This window comes from Homo sapiens, chromosome 8 (assembly GCF_000001405.40).
Source record: "Homo sapiens chromosome 8, GRCh38.p14 Primary Assembly".
Taxonomy (NCBI): Eukaryota; Metazoa; Chordata; class Mammalia; order Primates; family Hominidae; genus Homo; species Homo sapiens.
In genome coordinates, this window is record NC_000008.11 from 55,144,572 (window position 1) to 55,166,827 (window position 22,256).

The window sequence follows — 22,256 nt, forward strand, 5'->3', positions numbered from 1 at the left end:
TGTGAAATTTCCTGATATTTAAATTTTGGCATCTAATCCAATTTTTTTTGGATAAAACTTGTAAGTCATAGACAAAACAAAACAACATAAAAAAGAGGTTCGGTATGTGAAGTGTGGTTCTCGAGCTGCCTGTTTGAGCTCTGCCCTGTGTAAGATGCCTTAAATGCATTCACATAATCCCAACAGTCCTGACATGGGAAGCTAGGCCACCCTCCCTATTCACAGTATTACCACTATTTTATTTTATTTTATTTTATTTTATTTTATTATTATTTTTTGAGACAGAATTTCCCATTGTCACCCAGGCTGGAGTGCAGTGGCGCAATCTTGGCTCACTGCAACCACCACCTCCAGGGTTCAAGCGATTCTCCTGCCTCAGCCTCCCAAGTAGCTGGGATTGTGGGTGCCTGCCACCATGCCCGACTGATTTTTGTATTTTTAGTAGAAACAGAGTTTCATCATGTTGGCCAAGCTGGTCTCAAACCCCCGGCCTCCAGGGATCCGCCCGCCTTGGGCTCTCAAAGTGCTGGGATTATAGGTGTGAGCCACCACACCTGGCCTAGTACCACTATTTTTTATTCTCCCCAACATGTACTTCTGCAGGCAGATTGGATCACCCCTTCATAGAACACGCCTACTCATTCCTGTGGTCATCACGTTGGTCATTTAAACATTTTAATCCACTCACACGCTCTGCAGACATCTACTCCATGTCCTTCTCTTCTTGAATGCTCCTCTGACATTCTACTCCACCTATGAAGCCATTCTTAATACTTCAGTATACATTGATTTATTCTTTTTCTGAACAGAGTGTATTTAAAATCACTGCCACTACAGTTAATACCTAAAATTTTTTCTCAAAAAAAAAAATGTAATTTCCCTAAGAGGATTGCAATGTTTTAGATTCATTCTGTAGTGCTCCTCCTCCCAGAAATATTTGGCATAATTTGGGGCACTGGAGAGAGTGTCCAATATCTGGCCGATTTATACAAAATGTGAGATGGCATCTACAGCGCATCAAAATGATCCAAATATTTTTGCAACTTTTTGAATAGTTGCAATATATACATACTTTTTAACTCAAGCTGTTTTATTTGCTATTCAAGAACCTAAAAGAGATTTAAATAGTCTGGATTTTGAAATAAACTTCTCTAATTACATGTATGCTCATGAAAGTACATTTCTATTGTCCTTAAGAACAAGAGCTATCTGTTTACATCTTTTCATCTCATAAATTTTGTGTGCAGTAGATGCAAAATGAATGCATAGCAGCCCGCCAGTTCACTCCAGTATCTCATGGGGAGATTTGAGTGGTTTCATGTTTGGAAACAGATCTATCTGTGAAGTAAAGACATATCACTCATTTTGATTTGGAAAAAATGTTTTAGGTTCATGTGGTAATGTAGACATTATCTTTGGCTTATGTTTATTGATTGGGTGAGATGTGAAGGAAAACTGATGCTTTGCAAATGGGAATTATGAAATGACATTGTAACCTGAGTCATCATAGAACATGAAATGTGATCTAAGGCCACACTATTTTTGCTATACCTTTTATGTTTCATAATTTGACTTGACTACTAGTGTTCTAAGAGGTCTGAAAGATGTGTTCCTTACCTACTTTAAAATCAAGCTTGAAATTACCAAAGAAAAGCCGAGACTGCCTGGGAACCTTCCTAAACCGCTGACATGAGCTTGGCAGAGATGACTGACGGGAAGGACTGTTCAGAGTTGGGGACAAGAAGGGACCTGTTTTCCAAGAAGTTAAGGAAAGACTTTCTAAAAGAATGTTCTTACATATAAGTATAATGAGGTGGAAATTAGTTTCCACCATGACAAATACCATTCTTTTACAAAGTACCATATTTTCTAGAAGAGTGCTTTCCACTGCAGAACTTTCTGCAGTGATAGAACTGATCTGTGTCTGTGCTGTCTGACATGTGTCTATTTGCACACTTGAAATGTGGCAACGTGGCAATTGTGATTGAGAAATTGAATTTTTAATTTTAACTCACTTAAATGTAAATAGTCACATGTGGCTAGTGGCTACTGTATTGGACACAACATGCTGGAGGAAACTGTATCTTTTTCATGTCTTTTAAAGGGGCTTAAAATAATTTTTTGCTCTGCTGTCTGGGTCAAAGACCCCAAATATTTTCACTGAGGGCATTTGCTTTTTAATTTCTCAAGGTGAAACGTTTTTAGGAAGAAATAGGGTGTGGGCAGTGCAAATGAAAGGTGGGACTGGCCCAGCTTCAGGGATGTACCACCTTCTGCTGTCCCTTGATACAGATGCCCTTTGGGTAGGGGAGGGGGCAGCTGCTTCTGCCCACGCTGGAGCTCCCTTCTGGAGAGATGCACATAGCAGCCGATGTTGCAGTTTAGAGGTAATCATTCCACAGAAGGGAAGCCATGCAATATCCAACACAATGAAATGCTGTTTTTGAAAATAATTTGGGCACTTTATTAAAGCCAAAGGCCATATGATATGATAGGTCACAGTATTCAACATATTCATACTTATCACTAAAATAGGTTCTGGAGATCTTTAAAGTCAAGCATTTGTTTTTCAGTGTATTTTATTCCAGTAAATGTGAGAAACAGGTATATAAGAAAATCAAGCTTCAATTAACATGTGCTGTGACTCAAACAAAAGAAAGGAAAGCTTTACTTAGAAAAAAAATAACTCTTCAGAAAATAACAGAAAATGTGAACTGTCAGTTAATACAACAGCCAGTAGCCATAAGCAAGAGATTGGGAAAGCCTTGGGCCACTTAGGTGGACCAGCCTCAAGAGTGAGCTGAGAATGCTGAAATCACATTAAAGAGAGGAAAGTCTCTCCTATTTTTAAAGACACTTAGGGAGGAGAGCTAATAACCTCTTTCAGTAATTATGCCTTTTAATTATGAAGCACAAACTATTTTGTGCTGAAGCTCATGATTCAGATTCTAGTTCACATGCTTTTGAGGGGCCTCCTTGCCTCCTGGTGGGGTAGTTCCTGTCCGAGGAGGCAAGAGGCTTGTGGCCTGCTTGTCCCTTTCCCAGGCCTCTAAATCTGTCTCTTTGGCTTGAAATGTAGTGCGTATTAGAGCACTGGCATCGAGATTTGGGGAGAATTTCTATGAATGGATGCATGTGATGGCAGGCCCATAAATTACCAATGATGCACGAGAAGTAAAATCTCATCTTTGAAGCTTTGGTCCTGTGGGCCTATTTTGTCCATTTTATGATTGTCCATCACAAATATGACATTGTGCCAAAAGAGAAAAATGTAACCAGATGAATGACATAAACCAAGAAAAAGAAGGCTATGACATCTGTGAGCCAAGATGTCTGTTCTTTATGGATCCATAGCTGTCTCTGTCTCTGGGGGACAAGACTCTTGGACTCTCAGTGGGGACAGGGGCTGGGACTTCTGGTGGCCTTGGTCTCTCATTCCTCATTTCTCTAACCTGTAAAAAAAGGAGGTGGCATTGAATTACAAGTGCACTGGTCCATTTTACAAAATTGCAAAAAATGCATGAACACCGAGTGCTCAAGTGGTTCCATAAATACAGAGCTCTGATATCTGAATTTTAAGATGGAAACATTTCACAAAGGCATATAGCTTCCTTTTCTTAAAAATTACCATAGCTCCAGCCTGGACAACATGGTGTAACCCCGTCTCTACTAAAAATACAAAAATTAGCTGAGCGTGGTGGTGCACACCTGTAGTCCCAGCTACTTGGGAGGCTGAGGCACAAGAATCACTTGAACCCAGGAGGCGGAGGTTGCAGTGATCCTAGATCACACCACTGCACTCCAGTGTGGGTAACAGAGGAAGACCCTGTCTAAAAAAAAATATATATATATATACCATAGCTTAGGTTGACCAGTAAATGACAATATGACAATCCAATCCCTATCTCCTTGATGAGGACTGTGCCTCATGTTCAGACCTAGAATGCAATGAGGGCTTTTTCTTTTCAGTTATTGTTAAGTTATCGGGTCAAATAATGTAAAATGCATGTCAGAGCATGAGGTATTTAAATTCTGGCCTCTTTATTTTCCCCAGCAAACCATGTTATATTTTATCCGATTTAATTACTTTAGGATTATAATTTATTATTTGTCTTTGAAATAATTAAAGATTTTTTTCTTTTCTTTATTTCCTTAAACAATTAACAGCCAACTCTAAACCCATGAAGTGGTCAATTAGCTCAAGTGGAAATTAAAATTTGGCGCATCTATTTTAAGGTCGATGTTGTTTTATTTCCCAGAGCTGGACTGCAGACTTCCTTGGCTCTGTCACAGAAAGCGTCCTTAGCAGAGAATGGGTTTCTCTTCCTACTGAGGTGCTTCCCCACTATGAATTATTAAAGACTTGAGGATGAAAGTGTTATTGAAGACAAAAGTACAAATAAGCCAAGTGCACCCATGTCTTAATTAGATGACATTGAAGAAATGCTGCTCAGGAAACACATTTACTTTTTTTTTTCCTTTACTTCTAAGGTGTAGCCCTATTTAATCTTTGCCTAGAAACAAGTTTGTAATGAATGTATTTGGATAACGGGCAGCATGGCTTGGCCTGAGCCTTGCAAGCAGAGCTGCTGGCTGTGTCTCTGCCATTCGAGAGTCTATGGCTTCTTTATAACTTGCTAGACCCATCCAGCTATCCTGATTGTCCCTCATATTATCTAACTAATTGTTTCCATCATTTACTTTAGTCAACTAGTTCTCTCTTTCAGTTGACTCCCTTTTTCTAGGTGCTAGGGAACATGAAAAAATATAATACTAGAGCTGCCTTACGCTGTGACGTAGGAGAATCTGAAGGGAGGTCGGGGTGGGGACAGGAGCAGGAGATGATGCATTTGAAAGGCTTAAAACACACAAGTAGGAGAGCAAGAGAAACAAAAGAAAAGAAGTGGGCCTGGATGGGGTGGTGGGGAGCCTTTGGCATCGAGAAAAAGTTTAAATTTATACATTACATAATGTTCATCAGAGTTTCTTGGCAGCACGGGGATGGTTTTTGATAACTAACAGGGTGATCGTTCTCAGAATGGTTGTCAAATGGGAAGAGCGTTTCAGAAGATGCCCCAAGCTCTGGCCTTTGGAGTATTTATAGCTTAGCTGAGCCCATAGCCGGACAGCAGCCAGCAGGCTGGGATTAGGAAAAAACTAGCTGATATATTTGAGTCTAGTTGTTTGTTAACTATTGCAGAAGCAGGTGCTGCCTTAAGATGTACCTCATGAGCACCTTTCCTAGGAGCATGTGGTGCTGGATCTAAGGAAACTTGCCTATCAAAAATCATAGTGAGGGCCTTGGCTATTTATGGATAACCAATCCATACAAGGGGAAACCATATTGACACATTCTTTATATTGGAAAGGCTTGCCTTCAAAGGTGCACCACGGTTCAAGGGGAAAACCTGCTCTTCAAGCTCAAAGATTTAGATCCAAGTACTGGCCATTCTACTCCTAGATGTATCATCCCAGACAAATCAGCCTAAAGCTTCTATTTTTCATCTGTAAAATGTGGGACAATATTACCTGGATTATGCATTACTGCTCTAAGATTATATAAACACCATTTCATGGGTTATTTGCTAAAATTGTTGTTGATCTACATAACTAGGTCTTCAAGTTAATCAGAGCAATAGTTTAAACACTGAACATTGCTAGGTAACTGTAACTGTATTTCTGTGCCATTTTTTTCTCTTCTTGTTTTGGTTCAGTTTACATTAAAATCTGTGCTTATAAGTAAAACACAGCAGATTTATTGCAGGCTGATGCTGGTATGTTTTAGTATATGGGTTGCTAAAGAAGAAAGTAGGAGGAAGAAAGTTGTTAGCAGAGGGTTAGATTTAACTATTCCAGACTACGTAGATAAAATATAATTTGAGCATGCAACGATTATAGTATGGTTCTTGTAAAGATATCACTCATACTTAGGAAGTCGTGCATGACCCTTCATAACTCTCCCATTCCTCAGCTCACCCCCGGAACCCTGCCAGGGCCCTCTGCTCCCTATAACTGCACCTGTCCGTCCTTCTTCCCTTTTTCTGCTCAGCAAACTCCTCCTCACCCTGGAAAATCCAGTTCAGATGTTACCAGACAATTTTTTTTGTGTGGACATGCATAACCCCTTCTAAGCATCTCTTATATAACATTTATGACATGTCACAGCCATTTATGTGTTTTTATACCCCAGTAAAGTTCAAGCTCCATGGGTAGATGATGGTGTCTTTCTCATGGTGGTCTCCACAATACTGGTGCATAGTAAGTGCCAAAAGTCATTGGAAAAAAAGAAGGCATATATGGAAGAATGGAGAGTGAATGAACACATTTGTCTACATTTATGTCAGCAAGACAGCTAACATTTCTCCCTGCACCATTCCGTCTAACCTTTTTAAGAAACAGATGCTTTAGCCAAGGTATGATTGGTTGGAAATCCATCTCTAATTTTGGCAATTACTCAACTTGCACTCAGTATTTAAAGGAAGTTGAATAACAGCAGTGTATTAGTACTTTTTGTCAGTGTAAGATTGTCTTTTATTTATCATCTCTCAAGCTATAGGTAATACACACCCCAAATCATCTCCAGACAGTTAAGGCAATATTAGCAACATACGAATATTTAAAGAACAAGAATAGCACCACTATCTTGTTAAATCTAGAATTTATACTTTCATTTCTGGCCTGCCAAGCAAACTTCACAGGACATTATCTGACCTTAACAATTATCTGATCTAACACTGACAGTAAAAGAAGCTGAGGCTATGGGAAAAACAGCAGGAATACAAGGTGAATTTCTATCACCAACTTCATCTGAAGCATAAGACATGCTGCCAATTGTACCGCAAACTTCTGTCTCTCCTCATTGTCTCATACATGACATGACTACAAAATGATCAGTGAATAAGCTGCACATAGAAATTCAAGCATTATGCTGCATTCCCAGCACAAATATCTAGCTATATGACAAAAAATAGATTATCATAATCTATTATAGTAGAGTGTACTTAAGAAACATTTATATATTGTTTTTTATAAGTATAAAAGTAATACATATTTCTTGTAAACACTGAAAAATCTAGAAAGGCATGAAAAAAGAAATGTTAAATTGCTGTATGCGCTCCCCTCACTATCAATAATTTTGTGTATTTCTATTGAAATGCAGAGACAGAGACAGGTCTACAGAATTGCATGCTACTATTTTCACTAACACTTCATTATCCTCATATCATTAAATAGTTATCAAAAACATTATTTTAATGCCTTATTAATATTCCAATGAGTGAATTCACCAAAATTTATTTGACCAATTTAGCCATTTCCCTAACATCGTCACTATCTTTACTGTCAAAATACAATGAAGAATCTTGCAAGTATTTCTTTCTTGGTATTTTTATTTCATTAAATTAAATTCCTAGAAATGTAATTGCTGGGTGACAATATGAGGATTTTTAAGGCTTCTGATTTATAATGGCAAATTGCCCATCTTATCTGCGTTTTCTAAGAGCAGCAAGATCCACTTAAATGAGAATAATTTCTACCCTTCCAATAGAAGAAAAGTAGTTTTGAAATTACCCTTACCTAGAAAACTTCCAAAGAAAAGGGAATATTAGCAAAATAAGGTGCTTCTAACATGAACTATGTTTATGAAAGAGGACTCTAGATCAGATTCACCAGAGGTTAATGAGGTACTAGCTTTGATAGTTTTATTATCTTTACATTTCCATACTGTTTAAAGTTAGATGATAGATTCTATGTAATTTTAAAGGATTCTCCAGAGAGTTTTAAGGCCTGATTTGAAATCCAATAAGATGTTCATTATATACCATATATCTTTGCTTTACAGAAAAATGGCAGGTTTTATACAGAACCATTAATGAGGTAAAAATTAAGAAAATAATGCACAGGTTATGAAAATTTTTTTGTCTTCAAAGAATGATAAATGAATGGTCAGTCATTTACATTCTAAATTATTAATTCTTATAAAGGGTTGATTACTTTTTAATTGATTCTTTCCAACTTTCATGTAATTTAAATTATATACCAAATCTAGCAATGGTACTCATCCAAACAAAAAATGAGAAAAGCTGATAATACTAATGCTTTGTGAAGCTGGAAACACCAAGATAACTGATTAAAAAGTAGAGGGAAAAAAATCAACTGATTTGTTTTGCTCTAATACAGTTCAGTCATTTCAGTATTCAGATAATAGGAGATGACATAACGTTTTGGACTGAGATACTGAAATCCAATTTAAGCTCATCCCTTAACTACATTTGAGCCTAGGCAAGTTACTTCATGGCTAGCACCTCAATTACTCACCTGTGAAGTGTGAGCATTAAATGATGCAGTGTAGCTCTAGGGTCTAACTTGAAGTCTGGTACCTGTTCTTTATAGTATGAACCCAGGGCTTTGGGGTTAAAATGGAGAAGCACTAGAGGCCATAGCTTCTATTCCAGGGGATGTCATTGGACTAGTTCTTTCTGGAGCTCCCATAGGAGGATCCAGGCTCACGCTGGGTTGACCTTAGTGTGCTTCCTTGTTTGGGAATGATCCAGACTCAAGGTCCACACTTGCCACACACACACTCTAGCATCAAGGTGACCTTTTTTGAGGGCCTCCCAGTTTTAAAATTGGACGAGTTGTTTGTGTTTACTCAACTTACAAACAATTCTTGGTCCAACTGAGTTATAGAAAAGCTTTTGCTGGAGCAAACATCAAAAAATAGACATTTTTGGTGTTTTTACCTTCTAGTTTTTCTCCCGAGGGAAGATATAAGAGAGAATGAATTAGTTATTTCTCAAAGCATTGGACTCTTAATGGAAGAAAATATTCAAAGACTATTCCATGACCTTGTGACCTTCGAAGAACATATACACCAACATTTCAGCCTGCCAGAGAAAAGAAGAGGAGGAAATTAGCATTGCTGTTTCTAGGAGAACTACCTTCACAAATATGTGTCCACTACAATGATAAAAATAAAATCAATGTGGGACAAGTTGAATCACATGTTTCTTCATACTTTATGATACGTGATGAACCCTGAGAATATGCCTTAAGAGTTCCAATACAAAAGTAACATGCTTGGATTAAGAAGAATTCCTTTCTCTTTGAAAGGCTTACTTTGATGACAAATCTTAACTGTTAAGTGCCCAGTGCTGATATCCTCCTGGGCATGGAGACAGAGATCAAGTGCTTGGTACAGACAAATCAAAGATTTCCTCTGCCACTAGCTGATATGCTCATGCTTTCTTGATACTATGCGAATCCACTTGGAAAAAAGAAAGCAAGACTTGTTAATGCAGGAAGATATTAGACATACAGGCAAATCAAAGATAGAGGGGAATTGATAAAGCATGTTGGCTTAGAGTATAATTTTGATGCGATGTATTCCCAGGAAAAGTAAACACATTGATAAACTCATTGCTCTTGATCTTCCTACACAGTTTCTATTGACATTTCTTTCAGCTCCAGGCACAGATTAGAGAGTATATGGCCCATTGATTGCATTTAGGACTCTTAATGACAGGAAAGAAGATTGAATTCCTCTCCCTATATACATAGGGAAGATTAGTAGCATTTCTGATCTTAACACATTCTTGGATTTGCAAATCTGTTTTCGGAATCTGTTACTAATTCAATAATTATTTCAGGGGATGCTTTTATTGTAATCCTTAAAAAGTTGAAAAATGTTATGCTATATATGACAATTTAAGTTATAGTTTTGAGCCTCTATACAAATAAAATTTTGAGAAAGCTGTTTGAAAAAGGCTCACATCGTTCTTGTGTTGTGATGCTTTCCATATAATATCAATCATATGTTTTACAAACTTGAAGCCTAGCGAGAGTTGATATTCTTATTTAGAGAACATTTTCTATTTAAATTTAATTTTCTACTTTTACTTAGTTTTTAAAAGTTAAATATTCCCAAGAAAAATGTACTTAATGCCAGTGACATCAGTTATTAGATTCCACCAAACCATGTCCAATGTTGGATAGGAGACAGTTAACCTGCACCCATTTGCCTTTCCTGGGCTTTAGACTTTGACAACATTCTTTGTATATTCTTGGTACTGGGCAAAATCCTCTGAAAAGCTTTCCAGGGAGATATACTGGGGCCAGAGACCTATTTATCACAACCCTGCACTTTAATAGAGACAAGAAGCTCATTCCCATCATTAGGTTATTAGCAGCTGCAAATAGCCTAAATTCACTTAAAAAGTGTTCATAGAAAGTGGTTATAATTAATTAAAATCAGCTTGTTTATTGAGAAGAGAAATAAGTCAATTAAATAGAGATTTGGGAGTATGTATTGACTGGGAAGGATCACTATAAAATTTATATTCACACAGCCCATAAAATGTCGCTGGTGTACGACGTGAGGACCAAATCAGGGAACGTCAGTATAAACATGGCAGAATGGGCACATGGGTCTTTGTAGCAGTTCAAGGAGCTCTTTCCTCCATCCCAGGAAAACAGATGACTTCTCTTCTTCACCCTTTCTGCAGACCAGAAGTTGATTCTCTAGAGAAATTGATTCAGAGGCTTTGGACATGAGTCCAAAACAGAGTAGGGTTTGAGGTGTCAGTCTGAAAACACATTGAATATAATGCTGCGCGCTGATCTCCAAGATCCCTGCCCTCTTCCCACATTGCTGCTCCCAGACAGCTGCAGCAGCTGTGTACCCCTCATCCTTTTCAGAAGAAAATGAACAACGCTGGTGAAAATACAACCACATACTCTTCAATGTGAGCAGACAGCTAACGATGACCAGAAGGTAGAACATCCTCGATGCGAAGCACAGACCAGAACAAATTAAAAAATGAAAGAATTATTAGAAATAACATAATATGGGAGTAGAAGATTTCAAAATAGATATACATTTTAAAAGATATTACATATGATGTAAAATAACAGGATGTTGTAAAAACAGGAACGTCAGAAAATAATAAAGTGCTCTTGGGAATTTAAGATAAGGTAGAAGTGTGAAAAAAAAAAAAAGAAGTCGAGGATTTGGAAGAAGTTAATGAATTTCCTAGAAAGTAGAACAAAAAGATAAAGGCATTAAGAGAGAGAGAGAGAAAAAAAAATCTAAAGTTCTAAATTAAAAGGGACCATCAAACACCCAGCCTAATAAACAAGGAAGAATGCATATACCCACCCGAATCAAAAATATTAGAATATCGGGGACAAAGACTAAATACAAGTGTTGGGAAAAGATGAGTCACCCACAGTGAATAGCTTTCAACCCTGGCATCAACAGCAGATAACAGGAAACAGCAGAGATATACTCTAAAATTCTGAGGGGAATATGATTTTCAATATGAAATTCTATATTTAGCCAATTTATCCATCAAACATAAGAGCAAAATAAAGACACTTTCAGACATGCAAGAACTCACACACAAAAAAATATCACTCAAAAACCTATCTTAAGACACTGCTAGAGACTGTGATTCTGCCAAATTAAGAATTTAACTGAGAGTGAGTAAGACATATGAGATACAAGAAACCGCTTCAAACCCAGGAAGGTGGCCTTTAGGAGGAGATAGTGTTGATGGGAACTGGGAAGTGTGACTGTGGGAGAGGAGCTTCCGCAGGGAAAACAAGGCTTAGACTGTTTAGTATTGTTTCTGTGTATTTGGTGGGGGGCGGGGAGGAATCTTGCTAGGTATTTGGCAGATCTGTTGGAACACTCAGGGAAAAAAATAGCAATAAATGTAAGAAAAAAACATGAAAATATGCAATAATTTTGAATCCAAATGACCGCGTAAAGACTCGTAAGGACTTGCAGTCAACAGTGAGCTCAAGGTAAGACGCTGCGCGCATAGTCACGGCGTAAGATGGCGAGGTGGGGGTGGGGAGAGGGAGGAAGGGCGGGGGTGGGGTGGGGTGTGTAAGTCAGATCTTTGCCTTCTGTAACAGGTGTTCACTAATAGTTCATTCTGTAACTGTGTCTAAGTTTCATAAGACAACAAATAGAAACATAAAGAGTTTGGCGATAACTGAAGAAATGCCTAAAAAGGGTTAAAAGTGCTTGGGGTATGGGATTGGGCATCCTAACTAGAAAAGAATGGAGTGTGGGCTTGTTTTTTTTCCCCCATTGTAAGTCTCTTAATACTATTTCATTTTAAAAAATAAGTTTAAACGTTAATAAAAGTTAAAAAGTTCTTAAGAAATGAAAGATGGGAAAAGGGATGTATGCTTTAAGTGTTCAGGGAGCCAAAATCCTGTGACATGCCCCCTGGGCCAGCATGTAAGGTTCACCTGTAGGAAGATTACACCAACAACACGTTTCCGTAAACTTTCTGCATAAACAAGTCTCTGAGAAAATTGTTAACAATTGGATGAAACTGGTATCCAAAATACAGTAACAGTCCATAAAATATGAAGCAGAGGAACACACCTTGTCTTCTGATTTGGCGCTCAGTAAATATGTACATAATCACTTTTCATTGTGTTTGAAGTTTCATGCTGTATGTTAGTGTCTGCTGTGAAAGCTTCTATAACAACTTTCCATGACCCAGTTGTCCTATGGAATTGTAGAACAAACCACCACCTACATGTCTGACTTAAGGCAAATCACGAACCTTTATGATTTTTAAAAATCTGTTGACTAACATTGATTGTATCGTACATTATTTATAGAGATATTTATGAATAGGTTTAAAAATAGAAGTGGAGGAAGCTTCAAAGTGGAACTTATTCAGTTATTGTAAAATTGGAATAATGTGTATTGAAGGAATCTCTTTTTCTTAGGAATAAAGAAATTATGATAAAGAGATAGCATCATCTAAATAACACTAGATAACATGATAAGAGGGAGATGTGGTCTGTTTTGTTATTTAGAACATTATTTCAACTCTTAATGTGTGCTTATCTTCTGCAAGATGAGAAAAGCTTATAATACCTCTAAACGTTTTTGGAAATACTTTTTTTTTTTAAAGAATTTTGCCTTTTAAAAAAACTTTTAGGTTCAAGGGTACATGTGCAGGTTTGTGGTACAGGTAAATTGTGTGTCATGGGGGTTGGGTATACAGATTATTTCATCACCCAGGTAATAAGCATAGTACCTGATGGGTAGTTTTTTTTATTCTCACCCTCTTCCCACCCTGCACCCTCAAGTAGGCCCCAATGTCTGTTGTTGCCTTCCTTGTGTTCATATGTACTCAATGTTTAGCTCCCACTTACAAGTGAGAACATGCAGTATTTGGTTTTCTGTTCCTGCATTAGTTTGCATAGGATAATGGCCTCTAGCCCCATCCATGTTGCTGCAAAGGACATGATCTCTCTCTCTTTTTTATGGCTGTGTAGTATTCCATGGTGTCTATGTACATTTTCTTTATCCAATCCACTGTTGATGGGCATTGATTTCATGTCTTTGCTATTGTGAATAGCAATGCAATGAACATACGTGTGCATGTGTCTTTATGGTAGAATGATTTATATTCCTTTGAAAATATACCCAGTAATGGGATTGCTGGGTTGAATGGTAATTCTGTTTTAAGTTCTTTGAGAAATCACCCAACTGCTCTCCACAATGGCTGAACTCCTCACTGGCAGTTTGTAAGCCTTCCCTTTTCTCTGCAGCCTTGCCAGCATCTGTTAGTTTTTGACTTTTTAATAGCCATTCTGACTAGTGTGAGATGGTATCCCATGGTGGTTTTGATTTGCATTTCTCTAAAGATTAGTGACGTTGAGGATTTTTAAATGTTTGTTGCTAGTGTGTATGTCTTCTTCTGAAAAGTGTCTGTTCATGCCTTTGACTACTTTTTAATGAGGTTATTTTTTGCTTTTTGATTAGTTTAAGTTCCTTATAGATTCTGGATGTTAGACCTTTGCTGGATGCATAGTTTGCAAATATTTTCTCCATTCTATAGGTTGTCTGTTTACTCTGTTGGTAGTTTCTTTTACTGTGCAGAAGCTCGTTAGTTTAATTAGGTCCCATTTGTCATGTTTTGTTTTTGTTGCAATTGCTTTTGGCAATTTTGTCATGAAATCTTTGCCATATCCTATGTCCAGAATAGTGTTTTCTAGGTTATTTTATAGGGTTTTTATAGTTCTGTGTTATACATTTAAGTTTTTAATCCACCTTGAGGTGATTTTTGTATATGGTACAAGGAAGGGGTTCCGTTTCAATCTTCGGCATATGGCTAGCCAGTTATTCCATTTACCTTTCCACATTGCTTGTTTTTGTTAACTTTGTTGAAGATCAGATGGTTGTAGATGTGTGGCATTATTTCTGAGCTCTCTATTCTGTTCCATTGGTGTATGTGTCTGTTTTTGTACCAATACCATGCTGTTTTGGTTACTGTAGCCTTGTAGTGTATGTCGAAGTCAGGTAATGTGATGTCTCCAGCTTTGTTCTTTCTGCTTAGAATTACCTCGGACATTCTGGCTCTTTTTTGGTTTCATATGAATTTTAAACGTTTTTTTCCAATTCTGTGAAGAGTATCATTGGTAGTTTGATAGGAATAGCATGGATCTGTAAGTTTCTTTAGGCAGTATGGCCATTTAAACAAGATTGATTCATTCTGTTCATGAGTATGGCATGTTTTCCATTTGTTTGTGTCACCTCTGACTATTTTGAGCAGTATTTTGTATCTCCACAATTCTCATTGTAGAGATATTTCACCACCCTGGTTAGCTATATTTATAGGTATTTTATTCTTTTATTGGTAGAAGTAGTCTTTTAATCCACAAACATTTATTGAATGTCAACTCTATGCCATACATTTCAAAGCACTTGGGATATGTCGATGAACAAAGCAAACATCCCTGCCCTCACAGAGCTTAAATTCTAGCAGACAAGACAAATACTAAGCAAAATAAATGAGTCAAGTATACACACACACATTTTATATTACAAGGCAATACGTGCTATAAAAACAGAAAGATGAGTATGACGGGGTTGTAGGGAACATCCAATTTGAATATTATGAAATGGCATCTGTATCTTTTGAGCAAAAACTTGGGGTCATGTTGCCCTATATAAGAACAGTTTAAAGGGAATGATGAAAAAGTCTGAAGGCACGTGAGTAAGTGAGAACATGGGATGAGGAATGACTTGTAAACATCAAGTACAAATGACCCTATAAAACAATTTTCGTGCCAACCTGAACATCAAAAAAAGGCAAGATAAGATTCCATTTGTCTGTTGGTTTAAGATGGGAAAAATAATAGTTGGTAGAAGTAACCCATGAAGTTGAAACTGAAGAAGGAATGAGATCTAGAGCACAGAGAAAAGGACTAGCTAGAGATACATGCGAGGCTAGTTCATCTGTGGTCCTGGCTGCATAGCATCGCATATAGACTCAAGTAGTGATGTGGTAGGAAAGTTGACATGATGCTAGGGATGGTTCTTCTCTGATCACTTCTTGTCATGAGATTATTGGATAAAAGTCAGGATGTGGGGAGGTGCTATTGATCTGAGCAAAGAAAAGAATGTAGAAAAGAAATGATGTAGGAATGTAGAAAAGAAATGATGTAGGAATGTAGAGAATTGTCTAGGAAAGTAGGGAATTAGTGCACTAAGGAAGTATGCATGATTGGAAGCATAAGGGTGTAGTCATGAGTGGGAGTCAAGGGTGTAACATGAGACCATTGGCGTGGTTGTATTTTTACTCCAGCCATATTCAGCTCATGGGTGCAGCCCTGAACTAGGCAGAAAGTTGAGTTTATTTAAGATGTGGTGTTTTCAAGTGAGAATGCAGCATTGTGTATGCAAGGAGTGTTTAAATTAGTTGCCATGTAATTTGCAATATAAGCTGGAAAGGAGGGGAGGAAAGGTGAGAGACAGTGAGGAGGGAGTAGGATCAGTGGATCAGGAGGGTTAGAATTAGAGGTCTGTAGGCATGAACTAGAAGTAAAAGAGGCAGGGGTAATTTAGTGGGATGGTGGGCCTAAGATTTCAGATTGGTTGCTAACTGCAGCTTTTGGCAAGGACAAGGTCTAGGGTGAGTCCAAAGGCCAGAGTAGGCAGGGTGTTATAATTTCACGAAACACAGTTCCTGGCAGAGCCTTCCTTACTCCCTCAGAGGGATTCACATGCCTCACTCTGTTTCCGTAATTCCCTATGAGTATGCATTGTATTTCATTTTCATTGTTGTTATATTCGGTTGAACCACACAAAATGGCCAATGTTTGACTGTTTTGCCTGTAAAAAGGGCAGATTCATGTGGCTCAACCTAATGTTTGTACTAGTCTGAGCTGCTTAAGAATAGGGACTGTTACATTTCTCTATTTCTAGCCCTTATCACAGTGTCTCTGGTATAACTGGAATTCATTAAATATTTGCTGAATAAATAAATAAATGCAATTCCATTAATAAAATTCACACAAAAAAGTTTGAAGGCAACATCTGGTGTATTTCGGTGGGTGGAGTTTTTCAAAGCATACTGGAGATTTAAAGGAAAGACAAGGGTGCTTTCTGGAGACATTGGTGATTGTTGAGTAGGTGTGATGGCTTCTTTAATCCAAATCAGACCTGTGTTCTGAGCTTCGGCTTTGGTGGTTATCTCTTCCATTGAGTATTGCCAGCACCTGGACCTGCACAGGAAGTGCTTCCCATGGTGGCTCTGAATGTGGGCTGGGGGTTCCATCCTTCACAGCACGTGGCCATGCACAGGAGCAGCAGCCATCTTTCTACACAGTCATAGATACCACACAGGTGCAATAAAACCGGAAGCTCTCCTTTCTGCTTTAACAGACACAGTTATTTCACTCGCAGACATCTTTCCCAGAAAAAAAAGAGATGCAGATTTAGACTTATTCAAATGTGTTCATAGCATTTTTCTGTGTAATGGGATTGGTTGGTCCCCTCCTTACATCACAGTGACTGTCATAATTCCCTGCTTCTCTCTGAGGTCCCAAGGGAAACTAGAGTCTTTGAGCACCTGCTGGGCTGGGCAGTGATGGGTCCTTTATAGCCACCATCTGAAAAAACAGAAAAGGGCAGGATGAGCAGCGCTCAAAACCTCCCACTACTGCTGCTGTCTGTCCGGTCCTAGACAAGTTGTCTGCATTTGTTAGATGTGGACGAATAGTAGTACCAACTTCTAATGTTGCAGTGGGGATTGGGTAAGTGAATACTTGGACGGTGTTTAGAAGTACCTGGTACCTGCCTACTGGTCACTGAGCAATTCCTCCAGGCAGGTGCCACCCATGGCCACTTACTGCACATACATTCATCACTAAATTCTTTTCTCCACTTCACAGGTTACAAAACTGTGCTTAGCAAAGTTAAGTATCTGAGGTCTTAAAAACCAGTGCATTTCTGTCAGCTCCTCTTTAAAATCCTGTAGTGCTTCCTGTATTTTTGATCAATTCTTTCACAAACTGGCCTGTGCATTTTCTGCAATCTCTGTTTGCTACCACCACAGGCCTTTGATTTGCAGAAGAGCTGGTGGTGCCATATTATTTCAAGGCTTTAGATAGAAGTGTATTCATGATCTCACCTTTATCTATTGGTCATCCTTGTCTAAATAATTCCTACCTGTCTTTCAAAGCTCACCTTGATCACCACCTTCTCCAGGAAGCCCTTCCTAACCTAACTCCATGTCTGACTGTGACTCTTTTCCTCTCCACTCCTGGAGAACCTTGTTCATTTTCTCCTCATGATGTTCATCACAGTCTACTGTGGTCCCTAGAGTACACACCGAGTGCCTCCGACAGGCTGTAAGGGCTTCAAGAATACAACCCACACCTTATTTGTCTCTGTGTCCTTGACATCCAGCACTGTCCAGCACTGTGCAGAGTAGCAGCAATAAGCGTCTTTTAAAATAAGTGAGTTAATGGTGAAGCCTACTGATCTTTGCCATGAGATAGACCTAAATGTTACTATCTCCTGCACAACTTGTAACTGAATGAACTATGTTTCTTAAATTCTTAAGACCACAACTTCTTCATTTGCAAAATGAAATAATAATATCTTCTTTATAAAAGTGTTGTGAGGATTAAATAAGACAATGTATCTAAGTGCTTTACTCAAAGCATGGTACATACTAGTCGTTGAATAAATGATATTATTGTTAATGATTGTTACTTTTAAAGCCAGGGTTCCAAAATCCCTGTTCTTTCCACTACAATTGAAAGTCCCTCCTTGAAAACAAGGTAAGCACACAGAAAGCATAGTCAGTGTTGTGGTCTCAATAGTACAATTTAGGGTATTACTGTGTGAAATTGAACTACCCTTTCAATATTTAAACTACTTGGTTAGAAATGTCCAAAGTCTATGCTAGGTTCTTTTTTCTAATGAAAAAAACTGTACTATATATGCACATATGAAATAGTTATTCTTAGCTGAATTCTACAGAATATCTGAATAGTATGTATCCCTGAACATATATATGGGGCATAATTTTAAAAATATAATAGCCTAAAGTGTTACAAAATACATATTATACAAATATATAATATTGTAAAATGCTTTACATTTTTTATTAATGTCACCATGCAGAGAAAGATCAGAGTTCACATCATTTCTAGTCTTGGCCTTGCCTGTCACGAGGCAAAATTCTTTATGTTGTAATTTCAGTGACAGTAGAATGTCTCTCTCCCTAAAATAAATCCACTCCCCTCCTGTTACATACACATACCTGCTGGGACATCTAAAGCTTAATTCTTTGAACTTAAGCCTCTGATCTCTGTTAACATGAAGATAACCCTGGAAAGAGAAGGCTTTTACTTATTATTAGCTACTTGCTTTTAAGTGTGAGTGGCTTTCAGATCCTTCTATTAAAATAGATCGCATTTAGGTAAGGGCTGCAGGAAGAGAGGATGAGGCCCTGTGGGCCTGAGAGAAAATACAGAAGCAAGTAAATGGCAAAAGAGGCAGCTCCAGTTTTGTTGGTGAGCTGCGTGGTTCCATATAGAATTTCACTTCAATGTAGACTTCTAAATATTCCCAGTTTATTCCTGTGGACTCTGTGTTTTTTTGTTCCATAGCTCAGATAAACATGTTACATAATTTGCATTATTTTAAATAATTATAAATATTAGAATGGGCATGGTGGCTCACACCTGTAATCCCAGCACTTTGGGAGGCTGGGGTGGGCTGATCACCTGAGTTCAGGAGTTCAAGACCAGACTGGCCAACATGATGAAACCCTGTCTCTACAAAAATACAAAAATTAGCCAAGCATGATGGCAGGTGCCCATAATCCCAGCTACTTGGGAGGCTGAGGCAGGAGAATCGGTTGAACTCAGGAGGCATAGGTTGCAGTGAGCTGCGATCGTGCCACTGCACTCCAGCCTGGGCAATAGAACAAGACTCCGTCTCAAAAATAAATCAATAAATGAAATATAAATAAATAAATATTATATAAAGAATGTTAATTAGTACCAATAATGATCATGTGTGCTCTTTAAACTAGAATGGGAAAACATACTTAGAAGTGCTCAGTTCATTAATGCCTGCGTGCATATGCTAGCATGGAAGCAGAAAAAATATTTGCACACACATCCCTCGCACACATGCACACAACTGTTTCAGGAGGCTCCTTTGCCCTTATCTGTGACCCACATTAAGACCTCCACCTTCTCTTTTCAGCAGACCACAGCCCCAGACCAGCCCTACAGGAGTTTGCTCCAAGCGCCACTGGCCTGGCCCAGCACACAGGTTGCCTCGTCCGCCGCCTCCCCACAGCACCTTTCCTGAATTCTGTCGGCATTGAGACCCATCTCCTCTTTCTCTGTCTCTCTTTGCCTGACCCTCGTCCATTCTCCTAGTGGGCAGGATGCTGTCAGCTATTGCTATTTGGAGGGTGAGATGACCCCTGAGTAGAAATAACTCCTATAAGTTCAGAGGTTCAGCCTTTAACAAACTCACATTCCTGTTTGACTGACAGATCTCCCAGAAAGGAAAATAAAAGCACCTTGAGGACAGAGCTGGAAGTAGTCTACCTGGGTATTCTCCACAGCTGCAAGCTCAATGTCCTGAGCTTGCTGGTACTCAGAAAATGTTTAGGAACTTCTTTTTACATTGAGGGTAGTGCTTATGGGCAAAATGAATGCCCATGGGCCTAGCCCTGAGATGGCTGGACAGCAAGAAAGGAGAAAGGACAGCATGGGCAATTTTCCACACATGTTTTAAGTTTACAGGGGGAAAGAGACCAAGAGAATAAGATCAAGTCAAATCAAACCCATGTATAATAATACCATTACCAATTGTTTTCTTATTTTATGTTTTATTCTGATTCCTTCTAACAAAAGTTCACACACACATACACACACACACACACACACACACACGTTCAGCAGAGCTCAGGTTGAAAATAAGTGCCAGTCCTTATACCAAAAAGTAGTATGCTGTGCTTTGAAATTCCTGAAAGCTCATTTGCTGCCTCACCCTCCCTCTCCCCATGTCCTATAGACCCTGTGTTCCGGATCCATCCTTTGAATTCACTCGGAGGCAAGGTGGTCATTTCTTATCAAAAGGCGAAATCTACAAAATTATGGCCCAGTGGCAGAAAGGAAGTAGAATGGGCAGCCCTAGGAAGTAGGATGGGCAGGTCCCATAGAACATGGGACAATGAAAATTCAGTATGCTTGTTCCTCCCAATAGTTCCTTTTTGAATGCAGAGACAAAGTTAACTCAACTGGTCTTTACTGGAATTAGAATGCTGATTGGTGAGTCTCTCAATGTGAGACTAATGACATGTTAGAGGTGTGTTAATGAATTTATGTAAAGGGAGACAAAAGAGGAACCAGGGCTAATCAAAATGCCAGCTATTTTAAGATCTTTGACCATGTAATGACCTTCATACATATTATGCACCATTAGTATTCATGACAATTATAGCTTTTTAATTTTCTCGGTGTTATAAAACATTAATCATCTGTACCAGCAAATAAGATATTTTTGCCTGAATAGTTCATATAAAATTTTGGCAATGCTAAACTTGCAAAGTATCATGAAATATATTTCAAAAAGGGCCGCAAACTGAAACTAATCCACAAAACTCTCACTAAATTCTAATCATTGACAATTTGTGGTGTCATAATCAACATCAGCGAAGAGGGGTTTCAAACTCTTAGTGACTTAAAATCTTCATCTCTTCATCTGAAAATTCATGAAATAAATACAAAAAATTAGCTGGGTGTGGTGGCGGGTGCCTGTAGTCCCAGCTATGTGGGAGGCTGAGGGAGGAGAATGGTGTGAATCCGGGAGGCGGAGCTTGCAGTGAGCCGAGATTGTGCCACTGCACTCCAGCCTGGGCGACAGAGCAAGACTCCGTCTCAAAAAAAAAAAAAAGAAAAAAAAAGAAAAAGAAAATTCATGAAATATGGTATTTGAAGGTCAAAGAGGTTTATGGGAAAATAGGATGTCAATGCTTATATATCCTGAGAAAAAGTAACCACTTGCCTACAAATAAAATGAATCCAGATACTTTCTACCTTTGCTGTGTGTGTATCTTTGCTACTCAGGGTCAAGTGTGATGTTGTCAGAAATGACTTTGGCATTACTCTGAACAAGCTTAATGGGAGCAGGAAAACATACATGTAGTGAGGCCTGTGGATCTGGCTGCCTCTCACATGCAAATGAGGTGGGGGAGGGAGGAAGTAATGATACTGGGGTTTCCCAAATTGTGGCCCAATAAATATTAAATCAGCAATAAAAAATTGCTCAATTCAACTGTATCTATTATATTTGGTTATAGAAGGTATATTCTTTTCTTTTGCCATGATGCACAGCGACTCTGATAATCCTGAGGGATAACTGAACTCTGAATCTACAGAGAAGTTCCAGCACCATCCTTCTGCTGACAGAGCACAAGGAGACAGTCTGGTTGGAAGGGGAACAGTCATCTCTGCTGAGTCTTTAAAGGGAAATATTTTATCTGTTCATTTAAAAAATATGTGTTAAGCACCTACTATGTGTCACACAGTATCCTAGCACTGTGGATACAGCAGCAAAAGCAAACAAACAATAGACAAAAGTGTCTGCCTTAATGGAGCTCACATTCTAATGGAAGGAAACAGAATGAAACACCTTAATAGAAAAGCACATAGTATGTATGATGATGATATGCACTCTGAAGAAAAAATAAAGCAGAGAGTGGCATGAGGAGTTTTGGGTATGCTGTTGGAATAATTTAAATCTCCCTGAGAACATGATGGTAGTGAATTATGTGATATGTGGGAATATGCAGGCAGGGGGATCTCAGACAGATAACATCGCATGTTCAAGGGCAGCAAGAAGGTCAATGTGTCTGGAGTGAGCAGTGGGTGAAGAGAAGGAGATAAGGATGGGACCAAACCCA

General features: G+C 38.5%; 1 protein-coding gene and 1 long non-coding RNA gene across 2 annotated transcripts in view; both read left to right on the forward strand.

The window, feature by feature from the left end:
* The window catches only part of XKR4 (XK related 4), a 440,027-nt gene that overhangs the window by 42,544 nt on the left and 375,227 nt on the right, over positions 1–22,256 (forward strand). The gene's annotated exons all lie outside the window — the stretch shown is intronic.
* LOC105375844 (uncharacterized) lies at positions 16,884–19,880 on the forward strand. Its single transcript, NR_188097.1, has 2 exons — positions 16,884–17,073; positions 19,547–19,880. It is a non-coding gene; the product is annotated as an uncharacterized LOC105375844 (long non-coding RNA).